Source organism: Homo sapiens, chromosome 8 (assembly GCF_000001405.40).
Source record: "Homo sapiens chromosome 8, GRCh38.p14 Primary Assembly".
Classification (NCBI taxonomy): Eukaryota; Metazoa; Chordata; class Mammalia; order Primates; family Hominidae; genus Homo; species Homo sapiens.
The window spans coordinates 40,830,881-40,848,963 of NC_000008.11; the positions used below are offsets into that span (position 1 = coordinate 40,830,881).

At 46.7% G+C, this 18,083-nt stretch overlaps 1 protein-coding gene across 3 annotated transcripts in view, besides 1 other annotated feature; it reads right to left on the bottom strand.

Annotated features, from left to right (window-relative positions):
- ZMAT4 (zinc finger matrin-type 4) overlaps positions 1-18,083 on the bottom strand; it is a 367,237-nt gene that overhangs the window by 300,291 nt on the left and 48,863 nt on the right. The window lies entirely within an intron of this gene.
- Positions 2,805-3,305: an enhancer, noted in NCBI's record as "H3K4me1 hESC enhancer chr8:40691204-40691704 (GRCh37/hg19 assembly coordinates)". NCBI's record gives its function as "activates a minimal SCP1, AML or CMV promoter by ChIP-STARR-seq in primed H9 embryonic stem cells {active_cell/tissue: H9 hESC(primed)}" and the evidence as "EXISTENCE:reporter gene assay evidence [ECO:0000049][PMID:30033119]".

Genomic DNA, 18,083 nt, shown 5'->3' on the forward strand with positions numbered 1-18,083 from the left:
GTTGTAAAATAGGAGGAAAATTCTCACAGGGTTATTGTGAGGATTAGAAATAATGTAGATAAACCATCTAGCACAGACTGTGGCATAGCAGAGACACGCAAAAAGGGGATATTACCATCATTACCATTAATATTATTAATTTTGTATTATCGTTATTCTTATTTTCAAAGGAATGCTGTAAATATTTAAGAAGAGAAATAAATAGAACCACATGAAGATAACATAGTCGGTGCATTGAAATCATAGCTTTTATTGCTATTATAGTCTTTCTCTTTTGTATCAACAATACCATCCACAAAGATGGCTCGTTTCCACTGAAATGCAGCTGCCCACTCCTCCTGCCAGCTGAAACTCAGGCCTGTGAAGACCCCGTACTGCATAAACATTTAAAAATCTATTTTTGTTGTCACAAGGTGCTGACCCTGACGGACGGAGAAGTTTGATGAGAACTTTGTCTTACCCTCTCGTCCTCCCACAAGTGCTCACCTCCCATGACCTGCTTCCCAGGGGGATGCAAAGGGAGAAGCATGTCATTCAAAATATGGCAGAGGGCCAGGGACTCCAGCAAACAGAACCCACAGCACTCACCGTGGCAGTCCCCAGGCGGCCGCAGCCATCAGGGCCCCAGGGTGGCATCTCCTCCAGCCCAGTCCCTTGAGGAGAGAAGCTCTTGGCTTGGTGTTCCCCACCAGGTGAGCATCCTTCTGTTACAGATTTGGGCTATTTCCCTACAAAGCTTCTCTAGAAGATCTAATAACCTACTTTCCACCCATACTATCCCTCACTGGCCCTTTAAAGATAGAATTTAAGACTCATGGACACTTCAACTGAAGAGCAGCTCTTGCCTTTAAGGTAGGATTTCTGAATTTCCAAACTGCCACTCCGTGTGACTGTGCAAGCTCTCCAGTATCGGGCATTGTGACTACTCTAACAATGATCCCAACAGGACCTGGCCCCTTGTGAGAGCTCCTGACCCAGAAGGAATAAAGATTTCACTGAAGTACTTCCCCTGAGCCAGGCCTTGTGCTGAGGGCTTTATATAAATCATCCGATTTAATTCCCTCAAAGAGCTGTGTAGACTTGTCAGCTTCATTGTCTAAATGAGAAGACTCAGGGTTAGCAATTAAGTAACTCACCCAGAGGTCACTCAGCTCCTAAGGGGCGCTCAGTTTTCCAAGCCAGGGCTGACCCCTGTGCCCACGGCCTTCACCCCTACTCTGGGCCTCTGTCCTCAGCACTGGGCATGCCCTTCAGTTTGTCCCCTGCCACCTCCAGCTCGCGACCACCATAAAAATTCATAAAAGGAAAGCCAAGGACAGACATTCAGTGCAGAATTAATATGCTGGGGCCTGAAGAGCCTCGACTGTCCAGGTAGAGCCTTGGAAGCTGTTTCTGACCTCAGTGCTCAGACTCTCTTTTCTGTGTTTGCCTGAACTGAGCTGGGATGGGCTAACATCTGCCTGGACATTCTAGTTCTGCTTCTGCCTGCACAACCACAATTCTGCACCTCTGCAACCTTACTCACCCTCAGTAGATCCATGACCTACTGCTGCCCTCCAACGTGGCCTGACACCTCGAAAAGCCGCTGTGCCCTCTGCCGAGTCCTGCTGGCCCTTCTCCAGCCAGTCTGGGACCTTCCACCAGATGATGCCCCCTGCTCACCCATGCCACCACCAAACAGCCTGGCCCCGAGCCCAGCTGCCCTTGGCAGTGCTGACCAGCTCACCAGCTCCCAGAACCCAAGGCAGAGAGGCTGAACTTTTCTCTCCTTCAATTTTGACAAACTCCACAGCCGACTAAAAATGCTACCAATTAAGATGAACTATGACCTGGTTATGAATGTGAAACAGACAGGAGGCCTTCCGCTGTTGTTTAAACTCAGCCAATTTTAAAATTATTCCTCTCAAAAAAGCAATTGAACTTGTTTCTACTTTGATTTATTAAAACAAAGGAGAGGGGCTAAGACTCTGCTCAGAAGGGAGGGAAGTATGGGAGTGAGGGCTGACTGGTTTCCATACTTGGTTTGCCCTTTTGTTATAATTTTGAGTTTTTATTCCCTGAACCTTAAACCCATATTTGGTACTTTGGTGGCTGTTGCCTGACATTTGCTCCCTTTCCCCTGCCACTGTCCTTCTGTGGAAAGAAAAAACTCTTTGCTCTCTAGGCTGTCTACCAACAATGGGAAAAAGATTCAGGAGGCAAGCGGGTGGTTTTCGTGATCATCTCTGCCATGCCTGCCAGTGCAGGAGCCTCAGAGGATGGGCTGGAAGCAGGGTCTGTCCTGTCCCCATCACACCTCTCTCCATGTGAAGGTGGTAATGCAGTGCTGGTTGCCGTGGCAGCAAAGCAGATTTAGAGGGGAAAAAAAAACAGAAACAAGAAAAGTACTCTAGAAATGAAATCATCTGGCTGGCCGTGGTGGCTCACACCTGTAATCCCAGCACTATGAGAGGCCGAGGTGGGCAGATTATGAGGTCAGGAGTTCGAGACCAGCCTGATCAACATGGTGAAACCCCATCTCTATTAAAAATACAAAAATTAGCCAGGTGTGGTGGTGCGTGCCTGTAATCCCAGCTACTCTGGAGGCTGAGGCAGGAGAATCACTTGAACCCGGCAGGCAGAGGTTGCAGTGAACCGAGATCATACCACTACACTCCAGCAAAAAAAAAAAAAAAAAAGACATGAAATCATCATGGTCTTCCATAAAATCATGCCAGAGAAAGGGAACAGCAGGCAGCTAGGGTGCAGCGCAGGGGAAGACGTCTGACCCCCACTCCCGGGACCACCGGCTCCAGCACACACTTTTCTTTCATTCACACACCACCTGGGTCGACAGGCAGGAGAATCCCCCATGCAGCATCTGAGAGCAGGGTGAAGGTCAAGTACACAGCCAGCTTGAAGGACCTTTTCAATTCCCTGTTCCTCAGGATAAGGATCTTTCTTCTGGTTTGAGGCTGTCTTTCCCATTCCTGATGTTGCTCAGATAAAGGAATCTGGCAGTCTAGGTAGCTTACCGTACATCACCCAGATGCAGGTGCAAGCTCTGCTTTCCAGCCTGAGCTTTGTTTAAAAAGAGAGAGAGGCAGAGGGAGAGAAAACTCCCCACACCACTGCCTTCTCCTGCCTGGCGTTGCCAGGAGCTGCATCGCTGACTCACACCACTTGAATAATTGCCTTTTAATGGCACCATTTTCTTCACTTATAAAACCAGGTTCTTTGATTCCTGACTCAGAGGCATCGGCCACTGCTGGGCACATGCACCTCACCCCAGCCGCGGGCCGTGGAACCAGAGCTGTCAGTCTCACATGGCACAGGCTGGCCTGATGACATCTGGGAAGCAGAGCAGCAAAGGCAGCCCCAGCCTGCAGGGCGGTTCTCTGGTCCAACCTCCAAGGGCAGGCACATGCAACTGATTCTTTGCCACCTCTCCCCTCTCTGATCCCTTGTCCTTTGTCTGCTTGGACAAGTCTGAATTGTAGACTCCAGGGGGCATGAGCAGAGCAGGTGCTGACCAGCCCAGCCCAAGGCTTCAGATTTTCACTGTAAATTCTATGCAAATCCCACAGATTTTCTATGTGATTCACCAAATGGCCTCTGCTTAAGTCCTGGACATACAACATCACTTGGATTCTCTCTTTATTCATGAAACGAATTTTTACTGAGCATTTACTATACGGCTGGTGCTGCTCTAAGCACTCAGTCTGCAGCAGGGAACAAGGTTCTGATCTCACGGGAAAGGTTCACATTCTGGGATCCAGCACACACCACCCTCCATAAACACAGACAGACTTCCCACCTGCTTCAACACATAAATAGAATATTCATGCCAGCTGGAAGACAATGGCTCTGGCAGGCCCACGTGTCATCCTTCTGGAACATCTCCTTACCCTGTAGGTCCTTGCTAAGGCTCCAGTACTGTACCTTTGCCTCCACCTAACAGGGAGACCAGGGATCTGAGTACCAGAGGCAGGTGGGGACTAGCAGAGACTCTGCAAGGCAAGAGCCATTCTATCTGGCTTTCCAAAGGTACCCTGCAGTGGCAGCTTTGGGGAGAGCCCAAGGTGTCAGGCGGTAATGCACAGCAAGCCCAAATGCACCCAGCTGATGGGTCCGGGCAGCATGATGGAGCGCAGATGTCAGGGAAAGCGTGGATGTTTTTGTAGAACACTAATGGATAAACTCCAGCACCTTCTCCAGTCACAGCGGGCCCAAAGCATCTGCTTTCTCTTTCTGCACTTTCAGAGGGATGAAAGTGAGTGACAGGTGGAGAGCTTGGATTTTCAACTAGTTTGCCACTTCAAGTCAGACCAAAAACAGAGCCCATATCATGGGGGAAAGCCAGAGGCAGAGAGAAACAGAAAAGATCACTAGCCTGCAAAGAGAAGCAGGGAGAGGAGGAGAAAATATGAGGGAATAAAACATGCTCCTTATGTTTCCTGTCGCTCATTCCATCACACCAAAGGGCTGTGCACCCAGGCAGAAAAGCCACTCACATTTTAAAGAATAGGCTCCTACCCTCCCCTCACTCAACGGAGAAAAGCCTACGTGGGTCCCCCCACTTTGCTATGTATTGGCTACCTGAGTGAAGCAAGTACCTGCTCCAGACAGGTGGATTTTCTTAACAAGCTGAACGACTACAGGACCCTTCCTTTCAATGTGAATACATGCCTTCAAAAATACAGTTTCTAAATAAGTATTCCATTACTGTAACTTGTTTACATGATTTATCTTCACAAGACTGCCCCTATGAAACCAGACAGATTGAGGGCAGATTTAAATGCAGCAATGGCATTCAGGGCCCAGGGAAGCAGAGTTCTGCACCTGTATTCAACTGCAGAGGAAGGCACCGACGAGACAGACCAAGCTGCTGCAGGGAAAACTATTATTTTTATTTGAATCCATACTCTGAGGTTGCTGCAAGTGCTGTCAGTCAGCCAGCAGACATTCTAGTTCCCTTCTCCTCTACCGCATATTAACTTGACTGGGCTTCTCCAAGGAATTCTAACTGCTCGGTGCTGATTTGTCTCCTGACCTTCCTAAACTCAGTGAAAATGTAGAGTCCATGTAAAAGTATGTAGAGTGGCCAAGACAGGAAGATACAGGAATTTAAATGTTGCAAAGGCAGAGGAAGGGACTCACTATCCAGTTTCTCCCTACAAATCTCTACACAGCAGCCTCCCCCGTCCATGAAATCTTTCCGTTAGAACTTCCTTTCAGATTTCAGAGCTGGTTTGACATCTTGTGACACCCCCTACTTTGGGATGCAGTAAGAAATCGGGAAAATAATGATTGGTTTGGGAATTCAGCCACCATGGGAAATTAACCATAGAAAGGTTATTGTATGTGTATTAGGATCATCAACAAACAATGGGGAGATTGTTGAAACTTAAAATATCTGGCCACATCAAGAGTTGAAGAAGGTGTGAAAATGTATACAGGAATTTGTATACATTTTCACAGGAGGATAAGCTGAAAGTTAAGCATCATCTCATCAAGCTGAACAACCCAGCAACTGCACTCCTAATTTCAGGCAAGAAAAAATCTTGCTCACGTACAACACAAGGTATGTAAGAGATGATGATAGTAGCATTGTTCAAATAGCAAAGCCTGTAATCAGCCCAAAAGCACACCTACAGGAGAGTGGATGAATAAACTGAGGTACAGTCACAGCAACAAACCAGAATACAGACGAATCATAGCAATCTAATATTTACATGAAGAATTTGAATCAGAAGATCACATCTACAAGATCCTTTTTATAAAGTCAAAAACAACTGAAATGAAAATATAGACATCTTGGGCATACATGTAGAAAAGATACAACTCTAAAAATGTTTGGCAGAGAAATGAGGACAAGATTCAGGATGATGATTGCCTTAGGTTGGGGAGACAGAAGGGATGAGAGAGAAACACATGGACAGATGTAAGCGGTTGCCAGATCTCAGCTTTGCTTTAGAAGATGTTGTACGGGTGCTCATTCTGTTATTAACGACGGTAACTGATGTTAGTGATAGTGAGATGATGATGATCGGTAGATAAATAGATAGAAACATAGGTAGATAGAAACTAGATAGATGATGGATTGATTGACAGAAATATAGATACATACATAGACAAATAATGGCTGGATAGATACCATGTACACAATAATGATGAGAGACGATTTTCTAGAAATGAATCTTCCACACCCTCTGCAATAGAGACATTGTTTTTTTCCTTTCTCCTGGCCACAAAAGATCAGACTGAATTTCTCAGCCTCCTTTGCAGTTACTGCACCACATAATTGAGTTCTGGCTGATGAAATGTGCACAAAAATGATGGACACAGTTCCAGGCCTGGCCCTTAAAAACCTGCTGTTTGATCTAACCTCCTCTCCTTCTGCAGGCTGGACGTTGCAGTCCTGCTCAACTTTGGAAGCCACATGGTAAAGAAGGCAGGGTCTCTGAAAGTCTTGGTTCCTGGATGACTGTGTGGAGCAGAACTCCCTTTCCCCAACCCCTGGTGCCCACTGGACTTTTGTGTCAATGGGAACTAAACCTCTAAGGCACTAAGCCACTATGATTCCAGGATTTATCCAGCATGACCTTAACTAACTCTACTTGAACCTGAGTCACTTGGCATGGCTGGGGAAAAAGAATACACAAAGTGCACTTTTTACCCAGTGAAACCTCTTATGTGCTTTGTAGGGGAGCATTGGAAAAAGCCAGAGATATTCAAGGGTCTGAGAGTCCAGAGACCAAACCTAATCTCTTGTCTCTCCAGCTCAGCTCTCTGGGTCATGGCACTAAACAGTGCAGACCTCACTGAGAATGCTCATTCAGGTCAGTACCGCTCGATTTCTCATTTGAACAGAGTGTGGCTTCTGGGGGCTAAAATCAAGCAACTCGTGGGAAAGCAGAGTATCATCGCAGGACAAGGCGTGTGTCCTGGTACACGGGCTGGGAGCATCTTTACAGATGAGCCAACCAGGAGGATGTTCTCAGGTACCAGTGGCACCTGCCAAGAAGTCTGCTCTGTTTCTCTCTGGTTTGGAACAGACCCATGCTCCTCACCCCTGGCACATTGGTGTTGGTGCCTTGCAGAATCTGCTTTGCCATCTTGTGAGGGGCAAACGGAGCAGATGGCCCTGACCACTGGGATGCCAGGTAATGATCAAGTGCCACACATCGAAGTCGCAGGGTCTTGTCACCTCGCCAGAGATGACAGACAGCTGGGCCATCTGGCAACAGCCCTGATGCTGGGGAGGAGGCACACATCTCATCACTCCACCGCTTAATGTAGTTACACTGTCAAATTCTTCCCTCAAATCCGTTCTTCACGCCTTTTAGCTGAGGTGAGCAGCAGTTGGCCAGTTTCCAGGAAATGAGACTGCATTGATATAGATTCATTCCCTGGCTGGGAAGTTCCTGGCTCTGGGGAAAGCACGGAAGCATCACTGTGAGCTGGTGATGCCCCTCTTTTGTTTATTTTTTTATTTCCTGAGACAGGGTCTTGCTCTCTTACCCAGCCTGGAGTGCAGTGGCATGATCATGGCTCACTGTAGCCTCAACCTCCTGGGCTCAAGCAAACCTCCTGCCTCAGCTTCCAGAGTAGCTGGGACTACAAGTGTGTGCCACCATGCCCAGCTAACTTTTTGATTTTTTTAAGATGGGGTCTCACTATATTGCCCAGGCTGGGGGTGATACCCTTCTAATGCACTCCTCACTCTCCTCGTCAGCTCTGCTTAAGCCTGGCAGTGAACTATTGGTGTCTTCAACCATCCTGCCCACCTACCATGGCCAGACTGACTCTCAGTCAATGCCACCAGCCCTGCCCCTCCTAACACCCTCTCACGCTTGCCAGGTGGGGGAAAGAAGACCAGCATCAGGGAAGAGCTGGAAGGAAACAAAAGACATGAACAGTTAGGTGGACAGTGAAGGAAGGATTTGGAAGGTGAAGAGGCCAAAATAAAGGGGCGGGACATGAAGGCAATTGGAACTGAGTGGCTTAGAGAGAATGAGGTCACATTAATGATGGAGATAAGAATGAAAACATCACAGCACCAGAAAGGGCCATAAGGACCATCTAATCTCACCCTTTCACATTCCCAAATAATATGGAAAAGACACCCTGGAAAGTGATGAAACTTATCCAAATGTACCCTGTACATAAAAGGCAAAATGGAGATCTCTAACTCCTGAAATAATGTTCTTTCCCTGCAGCTCACTGCCTCTTCCAGAATATTTACTACCTTCCTTTGAAGAATCACCTTGGGCAGGCAGAAACCAAAAACACCTTTTTAAGCTTTGGAGAAACAAGCCCTCTGTGACTCTGACCAGCAGAAGCAATGGTGCAGAGATGCCTAAAAAGACCACCTTCCAGGTCAGATCCCCAGAGGCTGGCGAGACGAAAGCAAGGGCCAGCGACAGGCAGCTGTGCTCAGGTGTGCCTTGCCTCTTCTGCCACCCTCCAGAAACTTACAAGTAAGCATTTTGTCTAGAATGGCAAAGCCCAGAGGTTTGTGAGACGTGAAGATGTTAAGGTCAAATTGGAAAGTACATTTAAGTACAGATTCCACCTCAAACTGAGTGCTAGCTACAATCCCACCACCAGGTATCTACCCAAAGGAAAAGAAATCAATATACCAAAAAGATACCTGCACTTGTATGTTTATTACAGCACTAGTCATGACAGTGAATCGACCTAAATGTCCATCAATGAATGAATTGGTAAAGAAAATGTGGTTTACCATAGAATACTATGCAGTCATAAAAAGAATGAAATCACACCTTTTGCAGCAACATGAATGGATTGGAGGTCGATATCTTAAGTGAAACATGCCAGGCACAGAAAGTCAAAAGCCAGGCGTGTTCTCACTCATAAGTAGGTGCTAAAAAATGTATAACACATGGACATAGAGTGTGGAGTGAAAGACAATGAAGTCTTGGAAGAGTGAGGGGGTGGATGATGAGAAATTAGTTAATGAATGATGGCTAACCTAAAAGCTCTGATGTTACCACTATGCATTCTATGCATGTAACAAAACTGTGCATGTACCCCATACATTTGTATGAATTTTAAAAGGCAATTCCTGTTATAAGCAGTAATTCCTATTTCCCACCAAACAAAACTAAGTGGTGATCCTCCCAAGTCAGTGGGCTGTGAGATGCCTACTGATGGAGTGGCCTGGACTCACATTAAAATAAGTACTTGGAAATCTTGTGGTGGACAAGGGAGATGCATGGCTGAGGTGCCCTTTCAAGGAAGAAATGCTTGCCTCTATTTGCTGAGAATACAGTTGGCACTCAGCCTTCAGCAGCCTGTCCCTTCAGGAACGGCTTGCTTCAGAGAGCCATGCCCCCAAAATCACACTCCTCCGGGGCACCCATGGCTACTAACTGACAGCTGCAAAGGTGAAAAAGCCCAGTCAGTGCAACACAACATGGACCAACCCTGATGGGCCTTTTCAGCTCCACGACTCCCCATGCAGTTGGCTGAGGCTACTATACCTGCACCAAAGCCCAGTTTCTCCCTCTTTCCAATCCTGCTTCTGCTCCTCCCTCCACAGATATCCCTCCCAAGAGCCACCCGGTAGGCACCCTGAGCACTAAACTCTGCAAAGTCTCTTCCCTGGCAAACCCTGACTGTGGCATTTCTTCTCACTCACCTCCCCATGAAGCAGAGCTCACACAGCCCTACTGTGGACCTCACCTCATTAGACATTGGCAACCTGCTACCTCCGTTAGTCAGAGAGCAGATCCATTCCCAAAGATTCAGAACTCCTCCAGGAGTCCAGAAACGTATTGTCTGAGTAGCATTTATGCAGTACTAGGCAAGGCATTGTTTCTGGTGATGCTGTATTCTGAGATAGGTTCAATACTGCTTAATCATATGCAAAAGAGAGAAATAAGCTAGTGCCGAATTCTGGTTCCCATTCTTTTGATCTCAGTCCCCAATGTAGTTACAGTTACTATAGTACCATCTGACTTGAACCGATGATTCTAAGTTCCATAATGTCAAAGAAGTCATATTTCAATAACACTTCCTACCCACTGCTAAAAATATTGTTTCTTCCCACACAGCCATTCCTAATGAGATATTACAAGCCACCTGGCACCCGGGGGAGTTCTTCGGCTAATTTTCTGTGGAGCCCCACATAATGGAAACTGTGTACAATAGAACCCTGTTGGATGCTGGCGTCAGGGGCAAAAAGAAGAGCAACATCACAGGCTACTTAGTCCTATAGGAACAACGGTCCTTGGCAACGTCATTCGATCTGCAGCATGACTCCAGGGTGAAACGTAGTAGAGTCTAAAGTGTTTTGCGGTGAACTCTCCAAATGAGGAGCTGGCCCCAGTGGCGGTTGCACTCTCCCCAGGACCTCAGCCTACCCCTCAGTTTCTGATAAGAGCCAGTTTGAAACCTGAGTAACTGCTAACTCCTACTGGATGTAAATGCATCTGGGACCAGGCAAGGCCTCCAGCTCAGCTGCACGACCAACCAATCCCAGCCACTCCAGAGGCCGCCCCCCTGCCACCAACAAATGTGCCTGCTCCCTGTCCCTTCCACGTCTTGTTAAATGCTAGACTGTGTTCTCTCCTCTGCATCTGTCATGTGCTAAGCATTGCCTCTCTGAGACATCCCCCTACTCCTCTTACCCAAGCTGGGTCAGTGCCCCCTCCCCAGGCTCCCAGGCTCCCTGTGCACCCCCATAGGTGTGCACGCCCGACAGGTGTCGTACACCCCTGCAATGCTGTGCTTGGCTGCCTGCTCTTCCTCTAGACTGTGAGCCCTTAGAGGCAAAAAGTATCTCTCTTCTCTGTACTCAGCACCCAGCACCATTCTAAGCACTTTAGCCCGATAATAATAAACTGATAAAATAACAAGATAAAATGCACTGGGAATGGAGTAATAAAAGTAAAATGCACTAGTGTAATCTATTGCTTCCCAGTAGAACTCCCTGTTTCTATTTTGGGTCTTACCCTGAACATTGTTAAGAAGAGTCCAGAGGGTGGTCCTAAAGAGATCACCTGCAGGATGCGCTTCTGCACTCTCCTGGGGCAGAACAGTCTCCAGGAAGAGCCTGGCAGCACGTGCCCACAGGTGTAGACATTCCAGTGTCTAGAGCCAAGGGAGGAGCTCCACTTTCTGATTAGAAAATGATGCCTCTGTGATCAGAAACAGGTCTGGGTAGAAAGTATTAGGTCTTCCCTCCCCCAAGCCCCACAAGGCCCTCCTATAGGTGAGGCACCTGAACCTGTAGGTGATGCTAAGAAAAAGAAGCAAGTGTGGCTCCTGGGGGCAGCAATGGTGGTCCCCCAAGGGACTAAGCAAGTGCATCAACTGTCCCTCTGCCCACCAAGTGCACCTCTGTTCTGAGCTATACCCTCCCATGGCCTCATCCACTATTCAGACCACAGTGAACTTGCAGAAACAGGGCAGCGATTCAAGCCCACGTTTCCGGACTCCAAATCCGGGGGTCTTTCCAGAGCTTTTAAATCAAATTGTTGGCTTAGCATTTCCTTCAAGGGTCTTGTAATCCTTATTAAAGCACTCCAGTTATCTTCCAGTTATCTTTCTTTCTTTTCAATTGCTGAAAGGAGAAATAATTTGTGGCTCTGACAGAATTCCGGATTTCACAGTCAGAAAAGTCAAAGCCGATTGCAGGCTGCAGTCCACCCAGCCTTGCACAGTGCCTGCCTGCACTCTTCCACTTGATTTGGGGGTCAAGAGAAAGCAGTGATTTACAAGTCATCCTCACCTGCCAGTGACATAGAAAGTCCATGAACAACTAGGCACTTCTCATCACTTAATTCCACTTTGAATTTCTGCAAGAAGAAGGTAATAATGATGGAGCTGTGACATGGCTGGTCCTTGTCTGGTCTTTAGTCAACCAGAGTCCTACAGGATATTATAAAATACATTTAGTTTTTAAGATGGAGTTTCACTCTTGTTGCCAAGGCTGGAGTGCAATGGCGCGATCTCTGCTTACTGCAATCTCCGCCCCCGAGGTTCAAGCAATTCTCCTGCCTCAGCCTCCGGAGTAGCTGGGATTACAGGTGCCCACCACCATGCCTGGCTAATTTTTTGTATTTTTAGTAGAGATGGGGTTTCGCCATGTTGGCTAGGCTGGTCTCGAACTCCAGACCTCAGGTGATCTACCCACCTCAGCCTCCCAAAGTGCTGGGATTACAGGCATAAGCCACTGTCCCCGGCCTAAAACACATTTTTTAAATGACTTCTCCAAAGCATCTGTAGCTCTGAAATGCAAGCCCCTGACAGAGAGGCAAGGCCAAGAAGCAATTTTGGTTTCCTTCTACCCATCTCTTCTAAATGGAGCAAAACTGTATCAAAGTCTCTCATTGCTAGGACCTTGTTTATAAATATGAATCAAGTCCTTCATTCTAACACATTTCATTTGGGCAACCTCTCCAGTCACTGCTCGACCCCACAGCCCCATGACAAAGGCCCCAGATGTACAACTGACCAAGAGCTGGCTGGATCAGAGACCCAGCAGGAGCTCATGGGGCCCTGTGTCCAGCTCACTCCTAGGTGGCGTTTGTATGTTGCAAGATGGGTCAGAACTGGAATGGAGCTGAGGAAGAGACCCATAAGATCCTGCTTTTACAGGGGACAGAATGCTTCCCAGGAGAGTGGACACTTCCTCTTCCCACTGGACTAAAATCTCTTCTCTGGTCTTTCTAAAGCAGCAGCAGCAAGCCCTAATATTTTGGGCTTTTATCTCCAGGTTCTTAGCACTTTTCCAGCCTTCAATACTCACAGTGGTTACTCCACAGAAGTGCAATATTGACTCAACAGCTGCTAGCTCTAGGATCTCAAGGAGACTCAAGAATCACACCTGAGACTGCTCCTTGTCCACTCTCTGCAGAATGTGTGCATGCAAGTCATCACTACATCCTGGTGGCATGAGATGGCAGAAGCTATCAGAGAAATGAAAATCAGTTGAGTGGGTTTGATGCCAGCCTTGAGTTTTGGCTGATTGGGCAATTGGGGCATGACTGGAAAATAAATCCAGCAAGAAAGTGCACACATTTTTAAGATCAGTCCCTTCTATCTTTCCCCTCAATTTTATAGGCTATGTACACAGTGCACCTAGAAAACGGAGACTCACATAACTGGAAATGGAACAATTCAGCAAAAGTCCAACTGATAGACCCTGGGCTTCTTCTTTAGCCCAGCCTGGAGCACTCTGGAAAGTGCCCAATGATTCCACCAGCCGACCTAACCGCTGAAGAGTGACAGGAGAAGAGAATATTGTTTTTTTCTAAAGAAAGGAGGTAAATAAAATAATAATTTACCACATGTGATAGGTAATTTTATGTGTCAACTTGACTGGGCTAAGGGATGCCCAGAGAGCTGGTAAAACAGTATTTCTGGGTATGTCAATGATGGCGTTCCCAGAAGAGATTAGTGTTTGAATTGCGTAGACTGAGCAGAGATCACCTCCACCAATGAGGATGGGCATCACCCAATTGTTGAGGGCTAGAATGGGACAAAAAGGCAGAGAAGGGTGAGTTTGCTCTTTCTCTCCTTGAGCTGAGACATCCATCTTCTCTGGCCCCTGGGATATGGGTGCTCCAGATTGTCAGTCCTTCAGATTCAAGCTGAATTACATGACTAGCTTTCCTGGTTCTCCAGCTTGCAAATGTCAGAATGCAGGCCTTCCCTTGGCCTCCATTATCATGTGAGCTGATTCCTGAAATAAATCTCATATATGTATATATACTCTTTCTCTCTCCTCTCTCTCTCCTCTCTCTCTGCATGCTCTCTCTCATTCTGTGTGTGTGTGTGTGTGTGTGTGTGTGTGTGTGTGTGTGTTCTGTTTTTCTGGAGATCCCTGGCTAATACACCTTGCATTAGCAATAAACTTTCCAGCATTCCAAAGTGATCCCACATTCATCATATTTTAAACTCACCTGGGGTAGTAAAAGTGTCTTTCTTACATCTGGCAGATGAAGAAACTGAGGCCTCAAGAAATTAAGTGACTTGCATAATGTCACATGGACTGTGACAGAATCAGGGTAAGAACTCAGGCACCTATTGATTGCATTGGTGTGAGCTCAAATAATAAGATTCTTCCAGCAAGGATGGTCCACTGGGTGACCTCACGACCATAAACTGCACATACTCATGCACCAGAAAGACAAAAGCAAGATACTGAATTCCCTGGTCCACCAAAGATTCAGTTCCCGTTAACATGACTGCAGGTGCCGAGCGAGTCTCTGGGTAGAATATCAATCACCAATAAATATCGCATCTACAGCTCTTACAACTTCACCTTTCAGTGAGCTCAGTTCCTCCACTTTCATGCAACTTGGATCTCCTCCTGAATGAAGTGTGTGGATGCCCTGGGTCTGTTCCCAGATCAATATGGCCAAACAGCTCCAAAAAGAAAAAAAATTTAGGCATCTTCATTATTATTTTCAAAAGCCTTGCTTCTCTAGAGAAAACACTCTTATTTCAAGATTTGACAGTCTGTTGATTGCCCACAGAAGAGGACAAAAAGTTAGAAGTTATTAATGGGTATCTCCAGGCAATTAAAAACACGCTGCCCTCAGATTCTGGTCTCTCCCAGACACCGTGTGCCAGTTGACAATTTTTCTGCTTCTGAAAAATAATGCGGCTTTTGCTGAAGTTGGTAAAATGGTCTATCAATAGGCAGATTATAGCAGCCTTCTGAAAAAAAAAATAACAGTGTCCTGTAATCTAACTACAGGCAAGACAGGGGCTTATGTTCAGGCAAGATAGTCCTGACACAGTGAGAACCCCAAGAGACCACTGGGAAGACACAGTGAAAACCTGTGTTTGCTGTCCCAAGGAATTGCAAAAAAAAAAAAATTTTTAGAAGCCTGCTATGAAATGTTTCAACCTCACTAGTTCAATACACTTAGTAGTTAAAAAAAAAAAAAAAAAAAAAGAGAGAGAGACTAAGGGTGGAGGGGGCAGGGAGGGTGAAAAATGTACTTAACAATGATAGAGCCAAGCATCAATTAGGAGCGGCCCCAAAAGACAACAAGATGTCAAGAGGAGAACCAGCCAACTGACAGATGGCCCTCCAGCAGAGAGGAAGCAGGACTTCTCCTAATCTGTGAATCCTGGAATTCGAAGGTTTGGACTTCAGCCTCTTTCAAACTCCAGAGAGAGCATCTCTACCACAGCCTTCCCAAGGTATTAGGAGAGACAGCAGCTGGATCTGTCAAACTTTCACTAAACAGTCTGCAAACCAGCCAGCCCCAGCTGAGACCGGGAGATAGCAACTATTTGTACACCTTCTTCCAAACGCACCACCCCCCTCCCTACCAAAATAAATAAATAAATATACTTGGCGGTGTTTCTTTTCTTATATATAACCTTTTACATCTCTCTCTCTCCCTGATCCATGATCCATTCCACCATGGCCCCTATCATCCCACTCAACCCAATCCCCAGCCCACAAGGAAGCCAGATTCTCCCATTTCCATAAATTCTTCTGGGACACACAGGGAGAGCAAAGGCGCAGAGCTCAGGGCTGGGACAGCAGAGCTCTGGTCCGCAGAGGGAGAGGGTGTCCTGGGCAAGGCTGAAGCTGCCGCGGAGCTGCCTGGCTCTGGATTCCATAATTAAAGTCACTGGGTGTTTGATCACCTCCTCGATGCAGAGTAATTAAAATCATTGCGCTGTTTGTTTTTCATTTCCTTTGATAAATGGTGAAAACTGCTAACGAGCCACGGCAGCGTCGTTCCACCTCACTCCCCCTTGGCGTCCCCGTTTCCAGGAGCATCCTGCATCTTTCCAGGTTGAGACTGACTCAGGAACTGCAGGAGCAGGGCTGGGCATTGCCAAAGAGTGGGGACTTGGCAGGGCAGACCCGCACAGCTGCTGCAAACGTGTATGAGGCTCACCTCTCAGAGAGAGCTGCTACCGTCCGTTCCAATGTTTAACGGCAGGAGGAGTTCAGGTAGGTCATCATTTTATAGGGAACACTAAAAGCATAATTCAGGCTGTTCTGTATGGCTTTTAAACACACACACCCTTCCCAATCCCTTATAAAAAAGGAGTGGGGAATGCCAGGCACAGTGGCTCATGCCTGTAATCCTAGCACTTTGGGAGGCCAAGGCGGGCAGATCATTTGAGGTCAGGAGTTCGAGACCAGCCTAGCCAACATGGTGAAATCCCATCTCTACTATAAATAGAAAAACTAGCAGTATGGTGGCATGTGCCTGTAATCCCAGCTACTCAGGAGGCTAGGCAGGAGAATCGCTTGAACCAGGGAGGCACAGGTTGCAGTGAGTCAAGATTGTGCCACTGCACTCCAGCCTGGGCAATAGAGAAAGATTCCATCTAAAAAAACAAACAAACAAAAAAAAAAAACTGGGGGAAATCCAGTCACCTTGGAGAAAATAGCCTCTGTAAGTTTCAGCCTCTCCCTCTAAAAAATGCGTAGAGTCATATTTGCCGTTGATTACACTAAGATGTTAATGAGAATTAAACAACGTGTTACCCAGGAAAGCGCTCCTCAAACCACAATGTCTACATGATGTCAGGAAGTTGCTGGCATTGTTCTTGCCTCCTTGCAACTCAAGAGTGGAGAAGCAGAGAGCTTGGCTGTTTCCCAAAGCAACTTAAGCCTCCCTAGTTTCAGCCAGGTGCGCTGAGGAAGAACAGGGAAGGGGAGGACGTGGGAAGGCAATGGGCGTTCCTGGGAAATTTCCGCTTCTTCCTCTGCAGCATGTCAGGTATGCTCTGAGACCTCATTATCATGGCCCTTAGGCTTGAGGCAGCCAGCAGAGCTTGCAGATCACAGACTGCTTTCCCAAGGAACTCCTTCCCCCCTAAATTTCACGTTCCCTATAATTGGGCTGTGAGGGAAATGAAGGCACCTGCAGAGGTGACTTCTGTCCCAGGAGTCTTCCCTGGCATCCCCTCTCTGTGGCAGCTGAAGTCCGTCCACCAGTGCAAGCCAGCCCTGCTTAATCAAACCGATGTCTGCAGGGCTCCAACAGAAAACCCTGAGGTCAGCCTTTCTTTGCCTCCAGAGAGTGCTAACCTACCCACAGATTACGTGAAATCATTTTGAAAGCACACATGATGTGTCCTCTAATTTTAAGTTCCAGGCTGTTTCTCAGACCCACAGGGACCAGGCTGCCTTCTGGCAGTGGGCAATGTTGTAAATGAGGAGCGGTTTATCTGCTGGAACACTAGATTTTGTCTCCCCTTCTGTCTACCTGCTCCTTGTGTCATCCACTGTCCTGGGAAAAAGATGTTAATAACCCAAACAAAGGAAAACGAAACCCAACAGCCTAGAGAAACAAAAGGAGAGGGCTTCCAATGGTGGAAAGTAATAACTGTTGAAGAGAAATGATTGTCCCAAAGCAACACCAGCCCATAAGAAAGAACACAAGCCTATGGGTGACACATCTGCCCTCGATGTGGAAGTCAGACTTTCCACTGTAGGACTCCACCCGTTGTCCATCACATCTGATTTTTAGTGTGATGATTCTCAGGAACACAATAAAATGTTTGAATTAAGGATTCTACCAACACCATCACTGAAAAAACATAGTGATTTTCTTCTGTTGTTTGGAAGAATCTGAACCTCTTGGAGAAAAGTGGGAGGTGGCCTGGGCATGAGTCAGGCAGCTGTACATGATTGAGGAGGAAAAAGCACAGGCTCTGGGGACACAGGCAGCAAGCTGTGAATGCTGACTTCACCATTCACTAGTCATATAACTTTGGGGAAATCATTTAATCTCCAAGCCTCAGTTGACTCATCTGTAAAACAGGGATAATAATAACCACATCATCACACTGTTACAAGGAGAAAAAAATATAAAAAGTACCCAATGGTTCTTGGTGCATAGTAGGAATTAAATAAATGGTCGCTACTATTATATTTATTACTACCAGTACTATTACTCTTGGTAATACCAGTACTGTTACTCAGGAATTGGGGGTGGTTGTATAATTCTTTATTCATTTCCTTCTTTAATTCAAAAATCCGTCCATTGTGGTTCCTGGTTCCACAAAAACAAAGTCGGCACCTACATCATTCCAGCCACCCCCAAATGACCTGCTTTGGAAATGACTCCAGACTCAGCAGCAAG